The sequence below is a fragment of the Homo sapiens genome, chromosome 12, assembly GCF_000001405.40.
Source record: "Homo sapiens chromosome 12, GRCh38.p14 Primary Assembly".
Taxonomy (NCBI): Eukaryota; Metazoa; Chordata; class Mammalia; order Primates; family Hominidae; genus Homo; species Homo sapiens.
Window position 1 is genome coordinate 100,511,260 of NC_000012.12, and position 19,184 is coordinate 100,530,443.

Here is a 19,184-nt window from a genome sequence, read left to right on the forward strand (position 1 = left end):
GCCTACCTCCTCCTACATCCTCACCTTTGTTGTGTAGTCAAAGATCTGTAGGAAAAGACTGTTAGAGTATTTAGCTTAATGTTTAAGACTGTTAGAGTATCTAGCTTAGAGTGTTTAGCTTTCTTCCTTTTCACAACCTCACACGTAGCTAAAGGGAACTTATGATTAAATTGAATTTTTTGTAGGTTTTGTTTGTTTTTGTTGTTTTTTTAAAAAAGAAAGAAGAAAGTGATGAACACATCTCTTTTAAAATTAAGATCTAGAAGAATACAACTTTATTCAATAAATATTTAAAAATATTTTTCATGTACTTTAGTTAATTGAGAAAGAGAGAAAGAAAGAGCCAAGTAATAATAGCTTATATTACAAAAAAATATTTTAACTTGGCATGGTGGCTCATGCCTGTAATCCCAGCACTTTGGGAGGCCGAGGCAGGCAGATCACCTGAGATCAGGAGTTCAAGACCAGCCTGGCCAACACGGTGAAATCTCGTCTCTACTAAAAATACAAAAATTAGCTGGGTGTGGTGGCAGGTGCCTGTAATTCCAGCTACTCAGGAGGCTGAGGCAGGAGAATCGCTTGAACCTGGGAGGTGGAGGTTGCAGTGAGCCAAGATCGCACCATTGCACTCCAGCCTGGGCAACAAGAGCGAAAATCCATCTCAAAAAATAATTTTTTTTTTTTTTATTTAGCCTAGGCATGGTGGCTCATGCCTGTAGTTCCAGCACTTTGGGAGGCTGAGGTGGGTGGATCGCTTGAGTCCAGGAGTTCGAGACTAGATAGAGCAACATGGGAAAACCCCATCTCTACAAAAAATACAAAAATTAGTCAGGTGTGGTGGAGCACGCATGTTGTCCCAGCTACTTGGGAGGCAGAGGTGGGAGGATCACCTGAGCCCGGGAGGTTGAGGCTGCAGTGAGCCGTGATCATGCCACTGCACTCCAGACTGAATGACAGAGAGAGACCCTGCCTCAAAAAATATATATTTTATTTAGCAGTAATACAGTTCTGTTATGGATGCTATAGAGAAATCATAACAAAATTGCAATCCATTTAAGATGGATAAAATATAATAAATGAAATATAAAAATGACAATGTAGGCCGGGCATGGTGGCTCACGCCTGTAATCCCAGCACTTTGGGAGACCAAGACGGGTGGATCATGAGGTCAGGAGAATGAGACCATCTGACTAACACGGTGAAACCCCGTCTCTACTAAAAATACAAAAAAATTAGCTGGGCTTGGTGGTGCATGCCTGTAGTCCCAGCTACTCAGGAGGCTGAGGCAGGAGAATGGCGTGAACCCGAGAGGCAGAGGTTGCAGTGAGCCGAGATCACGCCACTGCACTCCAGCCTGGGCAACTGAGCGAGACTCCGTCTCCAAAAAAAAAAAAAGACAATGTAAAATCCCATGTGATTACTGTCTCAACTAAGGCACAGATAATCGTGGTATTTATTCATTAAACAAATATTTTGGGAACACCTACCATGGGTCAGGCACTCTGCTAACATCTAGAACATTGAATACTGAATAAAAACCATCTCTTGAGCAGAATCTTTCGGATGGTGTGACACACTGGGGTTCCCTGATGTTGGTGGTTGCCACAGAAATAAACAGAGGACCCAGTCACATAAGATCGGCTCAAGGACATTTCAAACCTTTGAAAGTTCAAATGATCAGATTGTGTAAAGCCACATTAGTCACTTCTTAAAAACTGGGTATGATATTGTTAGAATTTTTTTTAAATAAAGAAGCATTTGTACACCAACTTTACAAACTAAAGCAGATCTATAAAGAAAACTTAAAAGATCCCACTTATGGCCTTCAGAATGTCCTTAACCTTTTTGTGGAGAGTCACGTCTGAATAGGTAAATGAACTTATACATTCGTTGGAAGCATAGATTAAGTCTTCTCTACCTATATTGCTACTCATAGCACCTAGCACAGTGCCTGGTACATAGTAAATATGGAATGTCTTTTGAATGACACAATGAAAAACCATGTTCATCACTGGTACGTAATTAATCAGCCTCTACTTTGCAAAAACACATTAAAATTTTTTTTTACAATACTTAATTCTTTCCCATCTCCGAATGATAAAAAGTAAATATTACCCTCGATTCCTATATGAAGTGGCAGATCTTTTTGAGCTGGCAGAGCTGTGGAGATCGAGATCTGCTTATGTTAAAGATTTTAAAATGGTGTGGAATAAAGCAGGAAAACATTTCTAATTGGTTAGAAAAATAAAATAGGCCGGACGCTGTGGTTCACTTATGTAAGTCCCAGCACTATGGGAGGCCGAGGTGGGGGGATCACCTAAGGTCAGGAGTTCAAGACCAGCCTGGCCAACATGGTGAAACCCCATCTCTACTAAAAGTACAAAAATTAGCTGGGCATAGTGGCACGCACCTGTAGTCCCAGCTACTTGGGAGTCTGAGACAGGAGAATTCCTCGAATCCAGAAGGTGGAGGTTGCAGTGAGCTGAGATTGTGCCATTGCACTCCATCCTGGATGACAGAGCGAGACTCCGTCAAAGACAGAAAGGAAGGAAGGAAGGAAGGAAGGAAGGAAGGAAGGAAGGAAGGAAGGAAGGAAGGAAGGAAGGAAGGAAAAAATAAAGTAGTTTCCAAATGACAAGCCTTGAACTGGAATTAAAATAAACAAAAATAAAACTTCTACAGTTAGGTTTGAGAAACCAACTGCTGATCTACAGGAAAGAAAAAGAACAAACTTTATAGTAGCTCTAGTCAAAAAGTGGCTGGGGCTCTTACACTGGAGGGCAAATTAGGACCAAAAGATGAAGCTTATAGGATGGCATCTTTTGAGGCCTAATTCAAGAATTAATTTTTTAGCACTAACATGAATTGTCCCAACAATGAGATTGGCTTTTTGCCTTAGGTGGTAACGAACTTCTCATTATTACAGGAATTCAAAAAGAGGTTAGATAAACAGGTTTGAGTACAGGAGATTTGTATGTTAGGTGGGACACTGTATTAGCTGGCTTCTGAAGTCCTTCCTTAAATTCTGTGAATCTGTAGTACCATATTTATAATATTCTAATCTGCCTGTTTCATCTTCTAAGCAAGTTTATAAATTTCATAAGTTAAAAAGTGACTATAATTCATGTACTCCCTCCTGTTGCTATGAACTGATGAAAGGGAAAGCTAGACCATGGTTTTTAAACCTTGACACTATTGACATTTTAGGCTGAAAAACTCTGTTGTGGGGGGATGTCTTGTACATACTGTGGGATATTTAGTAGTAGCCCTGGCTTCTATCCACTAGATCCCAGTAGCAACCCCCCACTTGTGACAACCAAAAGTGTCTACAGACATTGCTAAATGTCCTCTGGGGTTACAATCACCCCAGTTGAGAATCACTGAGAGAGACTATTCAGTGAAAAGTATAATATAGAGCTTCTCAAACTTGAGCTACACCTGGAGATTTCTTGAGGGAAGCTATAATATTTCTTGGGTGCCTCTAATGTTGACTTAAATTGCTTTTAATGAATTACTTATGCTATCAAGCAATTATAGCATAAGCTATATTATATTATAATAGCTATATTATATTGTGTATCATCTTTTATACACTGAAAAATTTCTATACACAAAGGAACAAACACAAATTTACAAAATTACATACAAACAAAACTACAAAACCAATAAAATAATGAAGTATATTAGATTGTATGGTTTTGTTGCCCAAAATGTTACCAAACTCAGGTTCTTTTGAGTTTGGTATCACTAGACCATGTGTCATATGAGGCCTCAATTCTCCACTGCTTTTCTCTCTTCGAAGAATTGATTCAACCAAACCTTTGTTCATCCAGAGCTCCATTTGGCCATCCCTGAGCTGGGTACATCTCAGGCATATGAAGTTTGCCTTTGCCATTTTGTCAAAGCTTTTTTTTTTTTTTTTTTTTTTTGAGACAGAGTCTTGCTCTGTTGCCCAGGCTGGAGGGCAATGGCATGATCTCCACTCACTGCAACCTCTGCCTCCTGGGTTCAAGTGATTCTCCTGCCTCAGCCTCCCCGAGTAGCTGGGCTTACAGGCGCCCTCCACTATGCCCAGCTAATTTTTGTATTTTTAGTAGAGATGGAGTTTCACCATGTTGGCCAGGCTGGTCTCAAATCCCTGACCTCAGGTGATCCACCCACCTCAGCCTCCCAAAGTGCTGGGATTACAGGCATGAGCCACTGTGCCTGGCCTGTCATAGTTCTTGACAAACAAGTCATATTTCTTGCTGCTAATGGGCACAAACAAAACTGAGGGTGATTAGTTTGAATATCAGTATAAGATGATCATAGATATGATCCAGAGAATGCTATTATTAGTTTTTTAAAGACTGGCATAAAATAAAAATGTAAAAAATAAATTTAATATGTGTAAAGGCCTTAGAAAAAAGTGTGGCACATAGTCAAAACTCAATAGATGTCTATTGTTATTATTGTTATGGTCCTAGAATTGATTTACATATCGTGTAATGGCAATGTGAGTGTTTTCTGCTTATATTGATAAATATTGATGCTCAAATCATCGTGAGTTGTTTAACAAGATTTATTTGACATAGATTCAGATTACCTAAAGCCACTTCAACTTGTCTGTGTAGACCAGTGCTACTCAAAGCATAGTACCTGGACCAGCAGTATCAGTATCACTAGAGAATTTATAGAATGTGGGGTTTTACCCCAGACTTACTGAATCAGAATTTCTGGGAAAGGGGCCCAAGAATCTGTGATTTAACCAGCACTACATGCTAAAGTTTGAGAATACTGGCGTAAAAATCATATCCAAAATCTTCCTAAGGCCACTCATCTGGCCAAGCATCTTGGTTTTGTGTTGTGAGTGTGAAACCCACAGGATGGGAAAAGAGAATAGGAGGAATGCTACTCTCCATGAGGTCATCAAAAGCACAATTCAGTAGAATAAAATGTAGACTTGAAACCTGGACTGGAAAGACACAAAGCCTAATCTAAGTCATGTTTCCTGCTGGGAGAGAAAGAAGCAGAAAAGAACACGCATAATTTATTCGGAAAATCTGATTCAAAAGAAAAATTCCAATATACATACTTTTGAACCTACAAATTTCAGTGCTGATGACATGCTAATTCTTTTTTTTTTTCTGAAACGGATTCTTGCTCTGTCACCCAGGCTGGAGTGCAGTGGCGCGATCTCAGCTCACAAACTCCGCCTCCCGGGTTCACGCCATTCTCCTGCCTCAGCCTCCCGAGTAGCTGGGACTACAGGCACCTGCCACCACGCCCGGCTAATTTTTTGTATTTTTAGTAGAGACAGGGTTTCACCATGTTAGCCAGAATGATCTCCATCTCCTGACCTCGTGATCCGCCCGCCTCGGCCTCCCAAAGTTCTGGGATTACAGGCGTGAGCCACCGTGCCCGGCCGATGACATGCTAATTCTTATGGTAGGCATTTTGGAAACATTCTCTCTGATCTTTACAGCAACTATGGAAAGTAGGAATTATTGTGTCTATTTTAAAATGAGGAATAAGCATATCATTTCCAAAACAAGCTAAGATATAGAGATGCCAGTGCTAATAGCTTGTGTGATGTGTTTACTATACTTTAGTAATACACTTATTAATTCTCATATCTTATGTCCATTTTATTTTATTTTCTTAAATTTATGATTGACATAATAATTGTACATGTTTATGGGGTACAACATGTTTTCATACATGTATAATTGTGTAATGATCAAATCAGGGTAATTAGCACATCTAACAGCTTAATTTATCATTTCTTCATTATGAGAATATTAAAAAACCTCTCTTCTAGTTATTTTGAAATACACAGTACATTATTATTAACTCTAGTCATGCTGCTATGCAATAGAACATCAGACATATTCCTTCTATCTAACTGTATTCTTGGACCCGTTGACTAATTTCACTGTCCCCTTCTCCCCCCATCCTCCTCATCCTCTCATAACTACCATTCTACTCTCTATTTCCATGAGAACAACGTTTTAGATTCTACATATAAGTGAGATCATATGGTATTTGTCTTTCTGTGCTTGGCTTATTTCATTTCATGTAATATCCTCCGGGCTCATCCATGTTATCACAAATGGCAGGATTTCATTCTTTTTTATGGCTGAATAGTATTCCATTATGTATACATACCACATTTTCTTGATCCAGTCATCCATTGATGAACGCTTAGGTTGATCCCCTATCTTGGCCATTGTGAATAATGCTGCAATAAACATAGGAGTGCAGATATCTCTTTGACATACTGATTTCATTTCCTGTGGAGATATACCCTGTGGTGGGATTCCTGGATTATATAGTAGTTACATTTTTAATTTTGTGAGGAAACATCATACTGTTTTCCATTATGACTACACAAATTTACACTCCCACCAGCAGTAAGGGTTGACTTTTCTCTACATCCTTGCCAAAACTTGTTATCTTTTGATTTATTGATAGTCATTCTAAATGGAGTGAGGTGATATCTCATTGTAGTTTTGCATTTTCCTGATGATTAGTGGTGTTGAGTGCCTTATGCCCATTTTATGGAAGTGGAAGCTGAAGCATAAGTTGTTAATCTATTTACCCAAGTTTTCATAGCTAATAAGAGCTTCAAAACTATAGCTTATAATCTAACTCCAGAGCCTGTATGATTGACCACTAGGCTATGATGCCTTTTATTGGTTGTCCACTAAGTGATTGTTCTGCTCTTCAGTTGTTTGCTCAAGGGTAATATTGACTAATTCAATGGCGAGAGGAAGAAAACGAAGCAGTCCGTTTAGCTGTTAAAGAATCAGTAGTGTCTAAGCCAAGGGAATGAATCCCTAAAGTCACTAACCTTGGATAGCTTACCTCCTTAGAAGAGAATTTTTCTTTCTGTCTTGTGAACTGTGCTTATGACCAAGTGAAACTTGGTCCACCTGCGAAGAGTTCTGGGGCATGGCAGGGTAAATAGAGTGAGACCAGTGGGCCAAGGACAACCCTGGAAAACACTTACCTTAAAGGTGGTCAGGGGAAGAGAAGCCCACAAAGGATATAGAATAGAAGTAATCAAGATAGAAGTCTACAAGGAAGTGCAGGATCACAGAAGGCAAGGAGATGGAGAAAGTAGTCAGAAGAGAGCCAACCTTTGGGGAGGTTTAGGAAGGAGAAGCTGGATTTGGACATAAATATATTTTTAAGAGCAGAGAAAGACAAAATTTTTCCATTGATTTTGATTTGAGACGTTGCCCCCATGGTGTCAGGAAAAGGACAAGCATGCAAGGGAGAGGATGGGTTGGAACCAGGCAGGGCCCATGTTCTATGCCAGGGATTGGCACATTTTTTTCTGTAAACATCCAGACAATAACAAGTTGAGGCTTCACACCACAGCAGCCTCTGTTGCAACTAATCAACTCTGCTACTGGAGTGCAAAGGCAGCCACATAGAAAATGAGCATAGCTATATTTCAGTAAGCTATACTTACAAAAATAGGCAGGAAAAAAAATGACAGTGGGCTGGCTGCAGTTTGCTGAACACTGTTCTTGACCAATGACTTTTTTTTTTTTTTTTTTTTTTGAGATGGACTCTCGCTCTGTCACCCAGGCTGGAGCGCAGTGGCAATCTTGGCCCACAGCAACCTCCACCTGGGTTCAAGTGATTCTCCTGCCTCAGCCTCCCAAGTAGCTGGGATTACAGGCACCAGCCACCATGCCCAGCTAATTTTTGTATTTTTAGTAGAGACGGGGTTTCACCATGTTGGCTAGGGTGGTTTTGAAGTCCTGACCTCAAGTGATCCACCCGTCTCAGCCTTCCAAAGTGCTGCGGTTGCAGGCATGAGCCACCGTGCCTGGCCTTGACCCATGACTCTTAAGGGTTGGTGTACGAATTAACTGGAAGCTGTGTAGTGAATGAGCACAAGATTCAACTCACAGCCCCTATGTGAGAGAAATGTAACTTTATTTTTTAAAATTGGATTTAATTCAGTCTAGAGCTCGGTGGAAACTTTATTTCATTTTATTCAGTATCATTCCATTCACCCCCGCCAAAATTCTTCTGGCGGTTTATCTAAGTACCAGGATTAAGGGAGGGTTGTGGAGGGATTGGGCACTGGGGAGTGGGGCTCTGGCCCCACAGCTGTGGGGCTGGGTGGGGCTTGGTGCCACAGCTGTTGACACAGTCTGAGATCTGTTGGAGTGCTGTTGTATTTGGTCTTCAGTCACCAGTGGGAAAGGTCTCTGTGACACCATCCTGGGGTACTGAGCACACTCTTCCATCACGTCTGGCCCTGGCTGTCTCCTTCATTCAGCTCAGGTGGGTGGGTTCTGATGTTGCATCAGTGCTGTGTTGGGATGCCTGGCTTCCCAGAGAAACCATGCTGCCATTTCATCTGCTCTATGCCATGCTGGGTGCAGAGAACCCTGGGGGTTTCTCCAGTTCTACCCAGGAAAGGGCATAAGAATCCTCGTCTTCCAGGATCCCAAATGACGTGGAGTTTCTATAATCTCTCAATCCACCTATCCTAGGATTCTGTCTGGGGATAGGGAGTTGGGAGGGACAGAGCTCAGGACCTTCTCAGGTACCTAACATGTCTTAGCTCTTTGACTTCCCCTTTAGTTGTCTGCTTCCTCCCGACTTGAATAAGTTTTATCTGGTCTTCAGGATTGGGGGCTTAAGCTCTGGCGTCTGAAAAGCCAAAAACAGGCTCCTTTATCTTCCTTATGTGTTCTCCTGTGAAAACAAATGAAAATTATCCTACCTTAGTGAATGGAGGAATGAGGAAGGGCTGTGAGGAAAACCAGAGGAGAAGGACAGAATAGAGTGGAATGCATATCAGAGGACCAATGCCTCATGCCTGCAGGTCTTGTGAGAGCTGCTCAGCCAACCTGGTTTCCCCGCTGACCCCGCAGCCCACTTCCCCCATGCACATCTCTTGATATCTGCACTCAGCAGATGCAAAGCGAATTATACTCTGTAACTTTCCATCAAAGGGAGCACGGGCTTTGCGGGCTGACAAGCTCACATTGAATCTAGGCTCTGCACTTCTTGGCTGAATAAACAAGTTACTTAATATTTACTGGTTAGAGTTCAGCAAAATAAAACAGAAACCAACAATTCAAGCAGAAAAGAATTAATACAGAAGTTGGAAGAGTCAGAGTAACAGGATCTATGCTAAGTTTCTGGGAGATGCTCAGAGCCACACTGCAGAACTGGCCCGCCGGTTGCTTTTCTGCCAAAATCAAGAAGATGGGGACTCAGGAAGCCACCTCAGGACTGTTGGCTCCAGGAAGACACCACCTCAGCTGCCATCTAGGGATCAGGAAGTTGCCTTCACTGGCAATCACTAACTCCAGAGACGGGGCTTGCCTGCCAAATCTGCACCTGCAAACAATGAATACCCTGTCCCCTGCCTTTCAATACCCTCAAAGCTAGTGACTGGAAGCCAGAGTGCTGCCACAGCAAAACTCCACAATCCCGCTTACCAGTAGAAACAACGGAAGAACAGCTTGCTTCTCCTTTCCAAAAGTCTTACAAGGGCATCTCTATGGGAGAGCTTAAATCATATCCACCATGTTAGCTGCGAAGGAAGTCTGGGCAAGGTTATGTTCTACTTTCCTGCCTCTCTGGTAATAGGATGTGCACTAGACTAGAAGGGAGGTGCAGAAGATATAAAGCTAGCGAATTCTTAAGACCGTGCAATATTTATTCCTCTGAGCCTCAGATCTGCAAAATAGGGATATTATCTATTTTGTGGGACATTTGTGTGGATTGTACAAGATTTATATTACATTATATTATATATTAGAATTTACCAGCTCTCTTGCTTTAGTATTTCACTGAAGATTTGTCAGTCCTGTGATACTTAAAACAAACAAAGAAAACACAAGAGAATTTAAAAAAAAAAAGCAACCTTAGAAACAAAACAAAGATCAGGGTTAAATTTCCTCATTACATTGGTCTCTTTTTCTGGTTCCACTAAAAATATTTTAATTTGTCTCAGTGTTTTATTTGTCATAAGTATTTATAGCATCAATGAGAGAAATGATGGTTTTCAATTTTTGTAAGTAATAACTTGGGAACACAAGCATCACGCAGAATGACAATGACTGCCACTTTCTCAGGACTAGATTAAATCAAGAGCTTTCTTTTGCCCTCAGTTATCAGTGCAGCATATGGAAATGTGCTAATGTCTGAATGAATTTTGATTCAAACCTCAAACCTCAACCAACAAAACTGATCAGCATCTAACTGAAAATTTCAAATGGCTGCATTTCCAAATAGGTCAGTGTCTGTCACATTTGTTTCAATGCCAAGAGAGTCTTCACACATCCGAGAATGGTAGAATTCCTAAAAGATGCTGTCTGAGTAAATGAGTGACCCTACTGCCTTTCTGAATATATTTTTGTGTAGGATTGTGAACCAGCATTAGACTTAGGTCTGAAGTTTTAAAAAAGCTTCCAAAAGTATTGAAACTATTCCAGTATAGAATAGATGTAGTGTTTCCAAAGGATCCTTTGTTTATGGACATTTGTGAAAGCTGAGGAGTGCTGACCTATATATAAACTTATTGACATCCTATTTAAGATCAAGCAAGGTCTGATTTTATACAATTTAATAATGATCCTAATGAATTCTAGAGGTCAAATTATCTTGGAGTATGATGCAAGATGGGGTTCCAAACTATTTCACTGCATTGGAACCCTTTTGTAGTAAGTGTTATGAAAATCGTGGGAAGAGTAGGACCCTGAAGGCAAACAACATGCTTTCCAATCCCAGCTGATTCTCTTCCCAGGTGTCCTAAATTACTTAACCTTTCTGATCTTTAGACTCCCCACCTGTAAGATAAGGACAACAATGAAGATGAGATAAAGATGAGGAGATGATGATGATGATGGTGATGATGATAATGGTGATGGTGATGGTGATGGTGGTGGTGATAATGATGATGATGGTGATGGTGATGATGATGGTAATTATGGTAATGTTGGTGATGTGATGATGATGATAGTAATAATCATGTTGATAGATAATCTATATCAAGTGATTACTATGTGCAGGCACTGTTCTGGGAGGCTTTATATGTACTAATTTGTTTAATCTTCAGGACAGTCTTTTGAAGCAGGTATCTGTAGATTGTCATGAGGATTAAATAAATTGATACCTGTAAAGTACTTAACAGAGTTCTTCCCAATGGAAAATCCTCAATCATTGCCTGCTATTATTACTATTATCATTGGGTTGTTGTGAATTTAAAAAAATGGGATATTATTTTTAAAATATCTAGCTCTGTACCTGGCACTCTTTTTAAAAAGTTTTTTTTTTTTTAGATTTCAATAGCTTTTGGGGGTACAGTCGTACAAATGGTTTTTTGTTACATGAATGACTTGTATAGTGATGAATTCTGAGATTTTGTTGTACCTGTCACCAGAGTGTATACATTTTATCCAATATGTAGTTTTTTATCCCACACTTTTCTCCCCTCCTCCCTTTTGAGTCTCTGAAGTCTATTATACACTCTGTATACCTTTGCTTACTGATAGCTTAGGTCCCACTTGTAAGTGGGAACACATGGCATTTGGTTTTCCATTCCTGAGTTACTTCACTTAGAATAATGGCCTTCTGCTCTACCCAAGTTGCTGCAAAAGACATTATTTCATTCCTTTTTATGGCTGAATGGTATTCCATGGTGTATATATACCACAGTTTCTTTATCCACTCATTGGTTGATGGGCACTTAGATTGGTTCTATATCTTTGCAATTGTGAATTGGGTTGCAATAAACATACATATGCATGTGTCTTTTTATCTAATTACTTTTTTTCCTTTGGGTAGACACTCACTAGTGGGATTGCTGGATCGAATGGTAGATCTACTTTCAGTTCTTTAAGAAATCTCCATAACGTTTTCCATAGAGGTTGTACTAATTTACATTCTCACCAACAGTGAAAAGCATTCCCCTTTCACTACATCCACACCAAAATCTATTATTTTTTGACTTTTTAAAAATGGGCATTCTTGCAGGAGTAAGGTAGTATCTCATTGTCATTTTAATTTGCATTTCCCCAATGATTAGTGATACTGAACATGTTTTCATGTGTTTTTTGGCCATTTGTATGTGTTCTTTTGAGAAATGTCTATTCATGTCATTTGTCCACTTTTTGATGAGATTACTTGATTTTTCCCTTGCTGATTTATTGAGTTTCTTATAGATTCTGGATACTAGTACTTTGTCAGATGCATAGTTTGCAAATATTTTATCCCATTCTGTGGGTTGTCTGTTCACTCTGATGATTATTTATTTTGCTGTGTAGAATCTTTTTAGTTTAATCAGGTCCCATTTATTTATTTGTTTGTTTTTGTTGCATTTGTTTTTGGGGTTTTAGTCTTGATGTACCTGGCACTCTTACATGCTCAGTAATCATTAGATGTGATTTTGTTGGTGAATTCTTATTTGTTATTCCTCTGTTCATTCAACCTCCCCAGTCTGGGTCATACACTGTTTTCAAAACTCTCCCTCTTCCTATTAGTTAACCCAATTCTTTATTCAGCAAATATTATTAAGTACCAGTTTGTATGCCGGAGTCTATTCTAAGCATAGGAGATGCCTTGGTGAGCAAACCAGACCAAATTCTTGCCTTCATAGTCACCATTCTAAAGCAAAAGCAGAAAAATAGTCTACATAACTCAGCTAAAATAGACAAAAAGAGAAAACAGTCAAGCAAACAAAAAGATTAAGAAATATAAAATCAGTAAAAGAGTATCGAAAAGAATACGTAGAAAAATGCAATGGTAATAAAATGATTTCCAGGGAATATGAACTGACATTTCACATAAACATATAGGTGATGAGGCAAGACAAACTAAGATGATAAAAACTAAATTTAAACAAGAAAAAATGTTTAAAGCAAACATATAAGCAATATGTATAAGTAGTGGTTAAAAGAAACGTCTTAAAGCATAAATTACTAAATGAGAAAAGTTATAAATCTACACTCAAGAAAAAAATGGAAATAGGCATTTAAGCAGCAGTTTGGAGGTGAAAGGTTTAACCCCACAGAGCAAACGAATTCACTTGGGCTCAGGTAGCTACGAGCAGCATCAGGCACCTCCCAGTGCTGGAATTCACCTATTAGAAACCCAGAACACCCCTAGGAACCTCAGGGAAGATGCTGGGGACCAGGTGCCGGTCACTGTGGGCCACTAGCTTCTGGGGGTTTGCCTACCTGGCACTTTAAATGGTCACTGAAGGTATCCAAAGCCAAACTCCAGCACAGCTTGGCTGTCCTCATCATAACCCCTGTCCTCATCCTCTCAGCAGAAACCCAGTAGGTCTGATGGTGTCAGTGGGTTTTTGCTTTCTACTCCTTTAGCCTCCTTCATCACTTAATAAGCATTTTGTCAAAGAAATGAGTGCATGTGATTCCAAAGTCAAATGGTAAGAAGGGCATATCATTAGAAAAAAGCCCCACTCCTACCCTCTTCAACTGCTCCTAGAGGCAACCCCTAAGAACCACTTCAGTTTTCTTTGCTTTTTGTATTTTATTGTTTCTTTCTTTGTTGTGTGGATAGTCTTTATTTATTTCTGTAGTACCATCTTCCCTCCCAACAAACATGGAAGAAAAAAAGAAGGGGCTGGTGGGAAGAAATGCCCTGGGGGACACACCTCTCCAATCTCTGCAGTTTTGAAGAGGGAGTGTTGAGGTGGAAGTCTTGGGGATATGGGGAAGATGGCCAGCCCCTCCTCTTGTCTCCCAGGTGGCTCTTGGCAGCCTTTTAAAGCTTAAACTCATCAGTTATTTTGGAGACGATGCTTTTAAAAGACTTGGAAGTCTGGGATATATGCTTAAATGGAAACTTCTTGAGATATCTCCAAAGCAATTTTCACACCTCCATCTTCCACTGTACTGAGTTCTCTTGGTCCCACTGTGGCTGCATGCACAGCAGCATGCAGTTCTTGTACAGTCTCTGGAGTCTGAAGGAGTTCCATTTTGTCTTATCAATGATCTGCACAGCTACCTCTTTCCTAGTTAGGGTGTGTCAGGCCAACTGCATGGTGACCAAGTTACCCTGGTTGATGGTCGTGATGAGCCAGTAGTTGCCAATATGGGTATCCTCAGCAGAGATGCCTGAGAGGTCCTGCAGTACGTTGGAGATAGGGCTTGGAGTCAAGGTGTCCCGAGGTAGGCTTAAATTTGGGAAAAGCTGATTAAAAGCTTGGTCCAAATCATGTCAAAAGAATATAACTTCCAAAATCCACCTGATGACCTAATCTTTATAATGAAATCAAAACACAATGCCAGAGAAAAATAAAAATAAACAAAAACAAATGCTAACACACTAAATTTAAAAAGAAAAATGAGAAAAAATTCTTACAAAGTCTTTGTATAGTTTTGGTATTAGGGTAATGCTGGCCTCATAAAATAAGTTAGAAAGTGTTCCCTCTGCTTCTATTTTCTGGAAAAGATTGTACAGAATTGGTATCATTTCTTCTTTAAATGCTTGACAGAATAAACCAGTGAGACCATCTGGGCCTGTTGCTTTCTGTTTTAGGTTATTCATTATTGATTCAATTTCTTTAATAGTATAGGCCTATTTTGATGACCAATTTCTCCTTGTTGAGTTTTGGTAGGGTATGTCTTTCCAGGAATTTCATCTAAGTTAGCAAATTAGCAGGCTTGGAGTTGTTCATATTTCTTTATTTTTCTTTTAATGTCCATGGGATTAGTAACGATGGGCCTCTCCTTCATTTCTGATATTGGTAATTTGTGTCTTCTCTCTCTCTTTTTTCTTGGTTAGCCTTGCTGGGCTTGGTTAGCCTAGCCTTATTAATTTTATAGATCTATTTTATTGACTCTATTAATTTTTATTGATCTATTTAAAGAACCAGCTTTTGGTTTCACTGGTTTTTCTCTATCATTTTCTTACTTTCAATTTCATTGATCTCTGCTCTAATTTTAAGTATTTTTTTTTTTTGCTTATTTTGGATTTAATTTGTTCTTTTCTAGTTTCCTAAAGTGGAAGCTTAGATTATTGATTTTAGATCTTAATCAATATATGCATTTTAATGCTATAAATTTCTCTGTAAACACTGCTTTTGTCACATCCCATAAATTTTGATAAATTGTATTTTCATTTCCCTTTAGTTCATTTTCACTTAGTTCTTTAAGTAGTCACCTCTATGTCTTCTATTTGCATTATGTGTAACCTTTTAGAAACCTTTGTGATGTAAGATATGTTATATTCCTATATTTCTCTAAATCAAAGTTAATCTCTTCTAAGCTCACAACTCTCCCGGCTGATGTGAAATTCATCTGGTCTATGTTTGAGAATACTCCTTCCTCCAGGATCGTGCGCAAACCTCAGGATCATGTTCAACTTTGAATTGGTCCCTTCAAAGTGAACAACTCAGCCACAGTCCAGCATGGACATCTTACCCCAGGGTTTTCAAGGCCATGGTTCTTAGTATCTTCCTGTCCTTGTCTCAGAGCTACATCATTAGAGATCTGTCACTCCTCTAGAAGCTCTTTATTAGTGCTGGTTCAATACTCACAGAACCTCCCAGACTCATCCCATTCCCAATTCTACAAGCATTGCCCTTCACCTCCAACACCTTTGAGATGATGCAATATAACCGTTTCAAAGAGAGGTCGAAAACAAAAATCCTATGTGAGAGTTATCTTTATTTAGAGACAGAAAAATTGCAGCTTTTGTCCCAGCAAGTGAACAAGAGTTTCCGCCCTCTTGGGATGGAAAAGAAAATGAAAAAGCAATAGAAGCAAGAAAAAAGCACACATAAATACCTTGATCAGTTATCCTTTCATCTTAATGCTCCTACAATTATTGCAAAACAATCATTTATGAACTCAAACTGGGGACGGTAACAAATTTGTTATGGGCTGGGCACTTGCCATGCTGTGTAAAACCTGGGTAGATTCATGTCTCAAGATAATTTTTAAAAATGTAAACTTCCTACTAAAAGGACAGCATAAGGCAGTGGTTAAGAGCACAGAGTCAGGTGGGCACAGTGGCTCATGCCTGTAATCCCAACAGTTTGGGAGGTTGAGGCAGGAGGATTGCTTGAGCCCAGGAGTGAGAGACCTGCCTGGACAACATAGCTAGACTCAGTCTCTATAAAAAATTAAAAATTATTAATAGCTGGGCATGGTGGGGTACACCCATAGTCCCAGCTACTCAGGAGGCTGAGGTGAGAGGATCGCTTGAGCCCAGGAGTTTGAGGTTGCAGTGAGCTATGATTGCACCATGCAATCCACCCTGGGCGACAGAGCAAGACCTTGTCTAAAAAAATAGGAAATAAAAAGAGTGTAGGGTGTGAGCTTATCAAGGTTCACATCTAAACTCTACCATTTGCTCTCTGCAGGACCTTGAGCAAATTAACTTCTTTGTAACTCAGTCTCCTCTTTGGTAAGAAAGAGATAATAGTATGTGATGTTCCCCTTCCTGTGTGCATGTGTTCTCATTGTTCAATTCCCACCTATGAGTGAGAACATATGGTGTTTGGTTTTTTGTCCTTGCGATCGTTTGCTGAGAATGATGGTTTCCAGCTTCATCCATGTCCCTACAAAGGACATGAACTCATCATTTTTTATGGCTGTATATTATCCCTAAAACTTAAAGTATAATAATAAAAAAAAAGAAAGAGATAATAGTAGTATCTGCCTCATTGGATTGTTATGAATAGGAAATGAATTGCCATTTACCATTTTAGAACAGTGCCTGGCACAAAATAAGTGCTGTATAAGCGGAGACAGACCTAGAAGCTGTCTCTATTTAGGTCATCTTGAATGGAAGGATCTCTAGTTACTCACCTCTGTGTGTTTGCTGCTATTTTAAAAGCCTGTAGACCCTTAAAGTTTTACAACATCAACCAATATTTTATTGATTGCAAAGTAATGGGTGGCCTACTACCAGTGGCTATCAGTATCAGTCACTGGAGTCTGGCACGTGCATGTGTATGTACACATATATGTGTATGACTTGAGAATAGGGTGTGGTATGTGGCTTCTACCAGTATAAAGAAGCATGAGAAGTGCCTGAACTCAGGAAGCAGAGGTTGCAGTGAGCTGAGATCACGCCACTGCACTTCAGCCTGGGCAACAGAGTGAGGCTCCATCTGGGAAAGAAAAAAAAAAAAGAGGCAGAAAAGCAGTGTGCAATATTCTGCAGAATCGAGGAATCCATGTAAAAGTACCATCCTATAGCTATTTTCTTGCTACCCCAGGGATCCCATTGGTGCTACACATTCCCCAGATGGCAATGCCAACCCTGTCTACTTATCCTGTATTACCAGCAAGGCTCTGTTCCTCAGTGAATTTCCTTTCCATTCATTTTCAAATGACTTTTCTGATATGAGCATTGTTGAATATGCACAAGAAAGAGGCAGAGGTATGTGTATGGATAGATTTGCATAAGTATAAATACAGTATATGTACCCATATTTAAATGATATAATGATAATATTGTGTTGCTATTCAGAGTGAAAGCTAATTAATTCAGCTATTGAGATGATAATGATTTCTTTTTCAGTTAATACCAGAGTCAAAAAACCCTGCAGAATGGTTCTACGCACTGTTCCTTTGACTCATCTTGGAAGAAAGACCTTTATTCTGTTAACTATTAAGCTGTCTATCAGTATCTATGACAGTTTTAAAGGAAATCATTCCTGGGAGGGGTAGAAGATTATTAGTAGGAAGGCTGACTCATGTAGGCTCAAGTGGACATTGAGGTCATGATTTGGTACCAGGAAAGAAAAAGTCCTCTTTTTGCTTTTAGTCTCTTAAAATGCATGCTTTGGTATTTGCACTCTCAATATCAACACTGATCTGCAGCACAAAGTCTTTTTTTAGACTTTATTTGGTTGGATTTGACATTTAGAAAAATGTTAAGATCTTTCCTACTGAAATTTACACCAGCTGAAAAATTCACAAGCAAGTCCATGACTTTCTTAACCTTGACATCTCTAACTTTTCCTTCAGCCTCTGTTTTCATATTTCATGAGTTACCAAAACCTGATGTTCTCTCTGTTTCCTCCTTTCTCTTCTGTCCCACTTTAGTTCAGGCATTGGTAGCCTCTCAGTTGTATTATGGCAATAGTCTCCTCTCTCTAGTCTCCAATACGCGTTCCACCTTTACCTTGCTCCGAGGAGCTTCCCAACATACAGGTTAGGTCATACTGTCCCCTGTCAAAGCCTTTAATGGCTTCCCTCTTTCAACATGGTAAAGACTCAACTCCTTTGCTTGGCATTCAAGGACACTTAATCACATTCTGTTCCTGTTACAACTGCTTACCCATCTCCCACTAATTCTCTCCATACTCTACCCAACCGCCACCAAGATGGAGTATCTACCCTTTCTTGGAATTTTCATAACACCCTGTGTTTGCTCATTTTTCCGAATGTCTTTCCTCCCTCATGGTCCATGTTTCTAAAACCTTACTTATTCTTCAAAGCCCAGATCAAATTCTATTTCCTTCATGGACCCCTCCCTGATTCTGGCTACTCTTAATTAATCAGGTTCACTCCCAGTCTATACAATGCCTTTTCTTCGGGGCGCTTGACTTCTAGCAGTTGGGAAATCCTCATATTATACTTATCTTGCTAGAACAATTTTTAAGTGCCTTCTGCTGGAAAATTGTCATAAGAAATATGCAGCTCTACATGGGTGCAGTGTAATTGCTGCCTCTCCTCCTTAAATGTGGCACAATCTTTACAAGCATATGGTGTGGACCTGCTTCTACATTTCAATAATTTATTCCTTGTTTAGCTATCTCATCACTCATATTTTATATTATGCTGTAAATTTACTTCTGTTTATTCCAACTAAGTATGCAACTCTGAAGACAAGGAATGTCTTATTCATCTTGGTATTTCCCAGGTCAGAGAATGCAGCTTTCAGATAGTTGGTACTTAACAGTAAACTATTTTACTCTCTTGTAACCCAAGGGTGGCAATTGCAAGATAGTAAAGAGTACAGGCTTTAGTGCATGACTGCCTGGGTTTGAACCTTCCTAGCCAACTACTAACCATGTGATCATGGCCAAGATACTTAAACTCTCTGTACCTTTTTTTCTTCATCTATAATATGGGGACAAATAATACTATCTTCATCATAAAATTGATATAAGAATTACATCAGTAAATGGAGGTAAAGTAGCTCAAACAATAGCTACTAGGTGCTTAATAAATGTTAGATAT

At 39.5% G+C, this 19,184-nt stretch overlaps 1 protein-coding gene across 12 annotated transcripts in view, besides 1 other annotated feature; it reads left to right on the forward strand.

The window, feature by feature from the left end:
- NR1H4 (nuclear receptor subfamily 1 group H member 4) overlaps positions 1-19,184 on the forward strand; it is a 90,549-nt gene that overhangs the window by 37,394 nt on the left and 33,971 nt on the right. The gene's annotated exons all lie outside the window — the stretch shown is intronic.
- Positions 14,468-14,637: an enhancer, noted in NCBI's record as "experimental_22518 CRE fragment used in MPRA reporter constructs". NCBI's record gives its function as "activates a minimal promoter by MPRAs in K562 erythroleukemia cells, with activity observed for the introgressed 12:100919590 variant allele {active_cell/tissue: K562}" and the evidence as "EXISTENCE:reporter gene assay evidence [ECO:0000049][PMID:34662402]".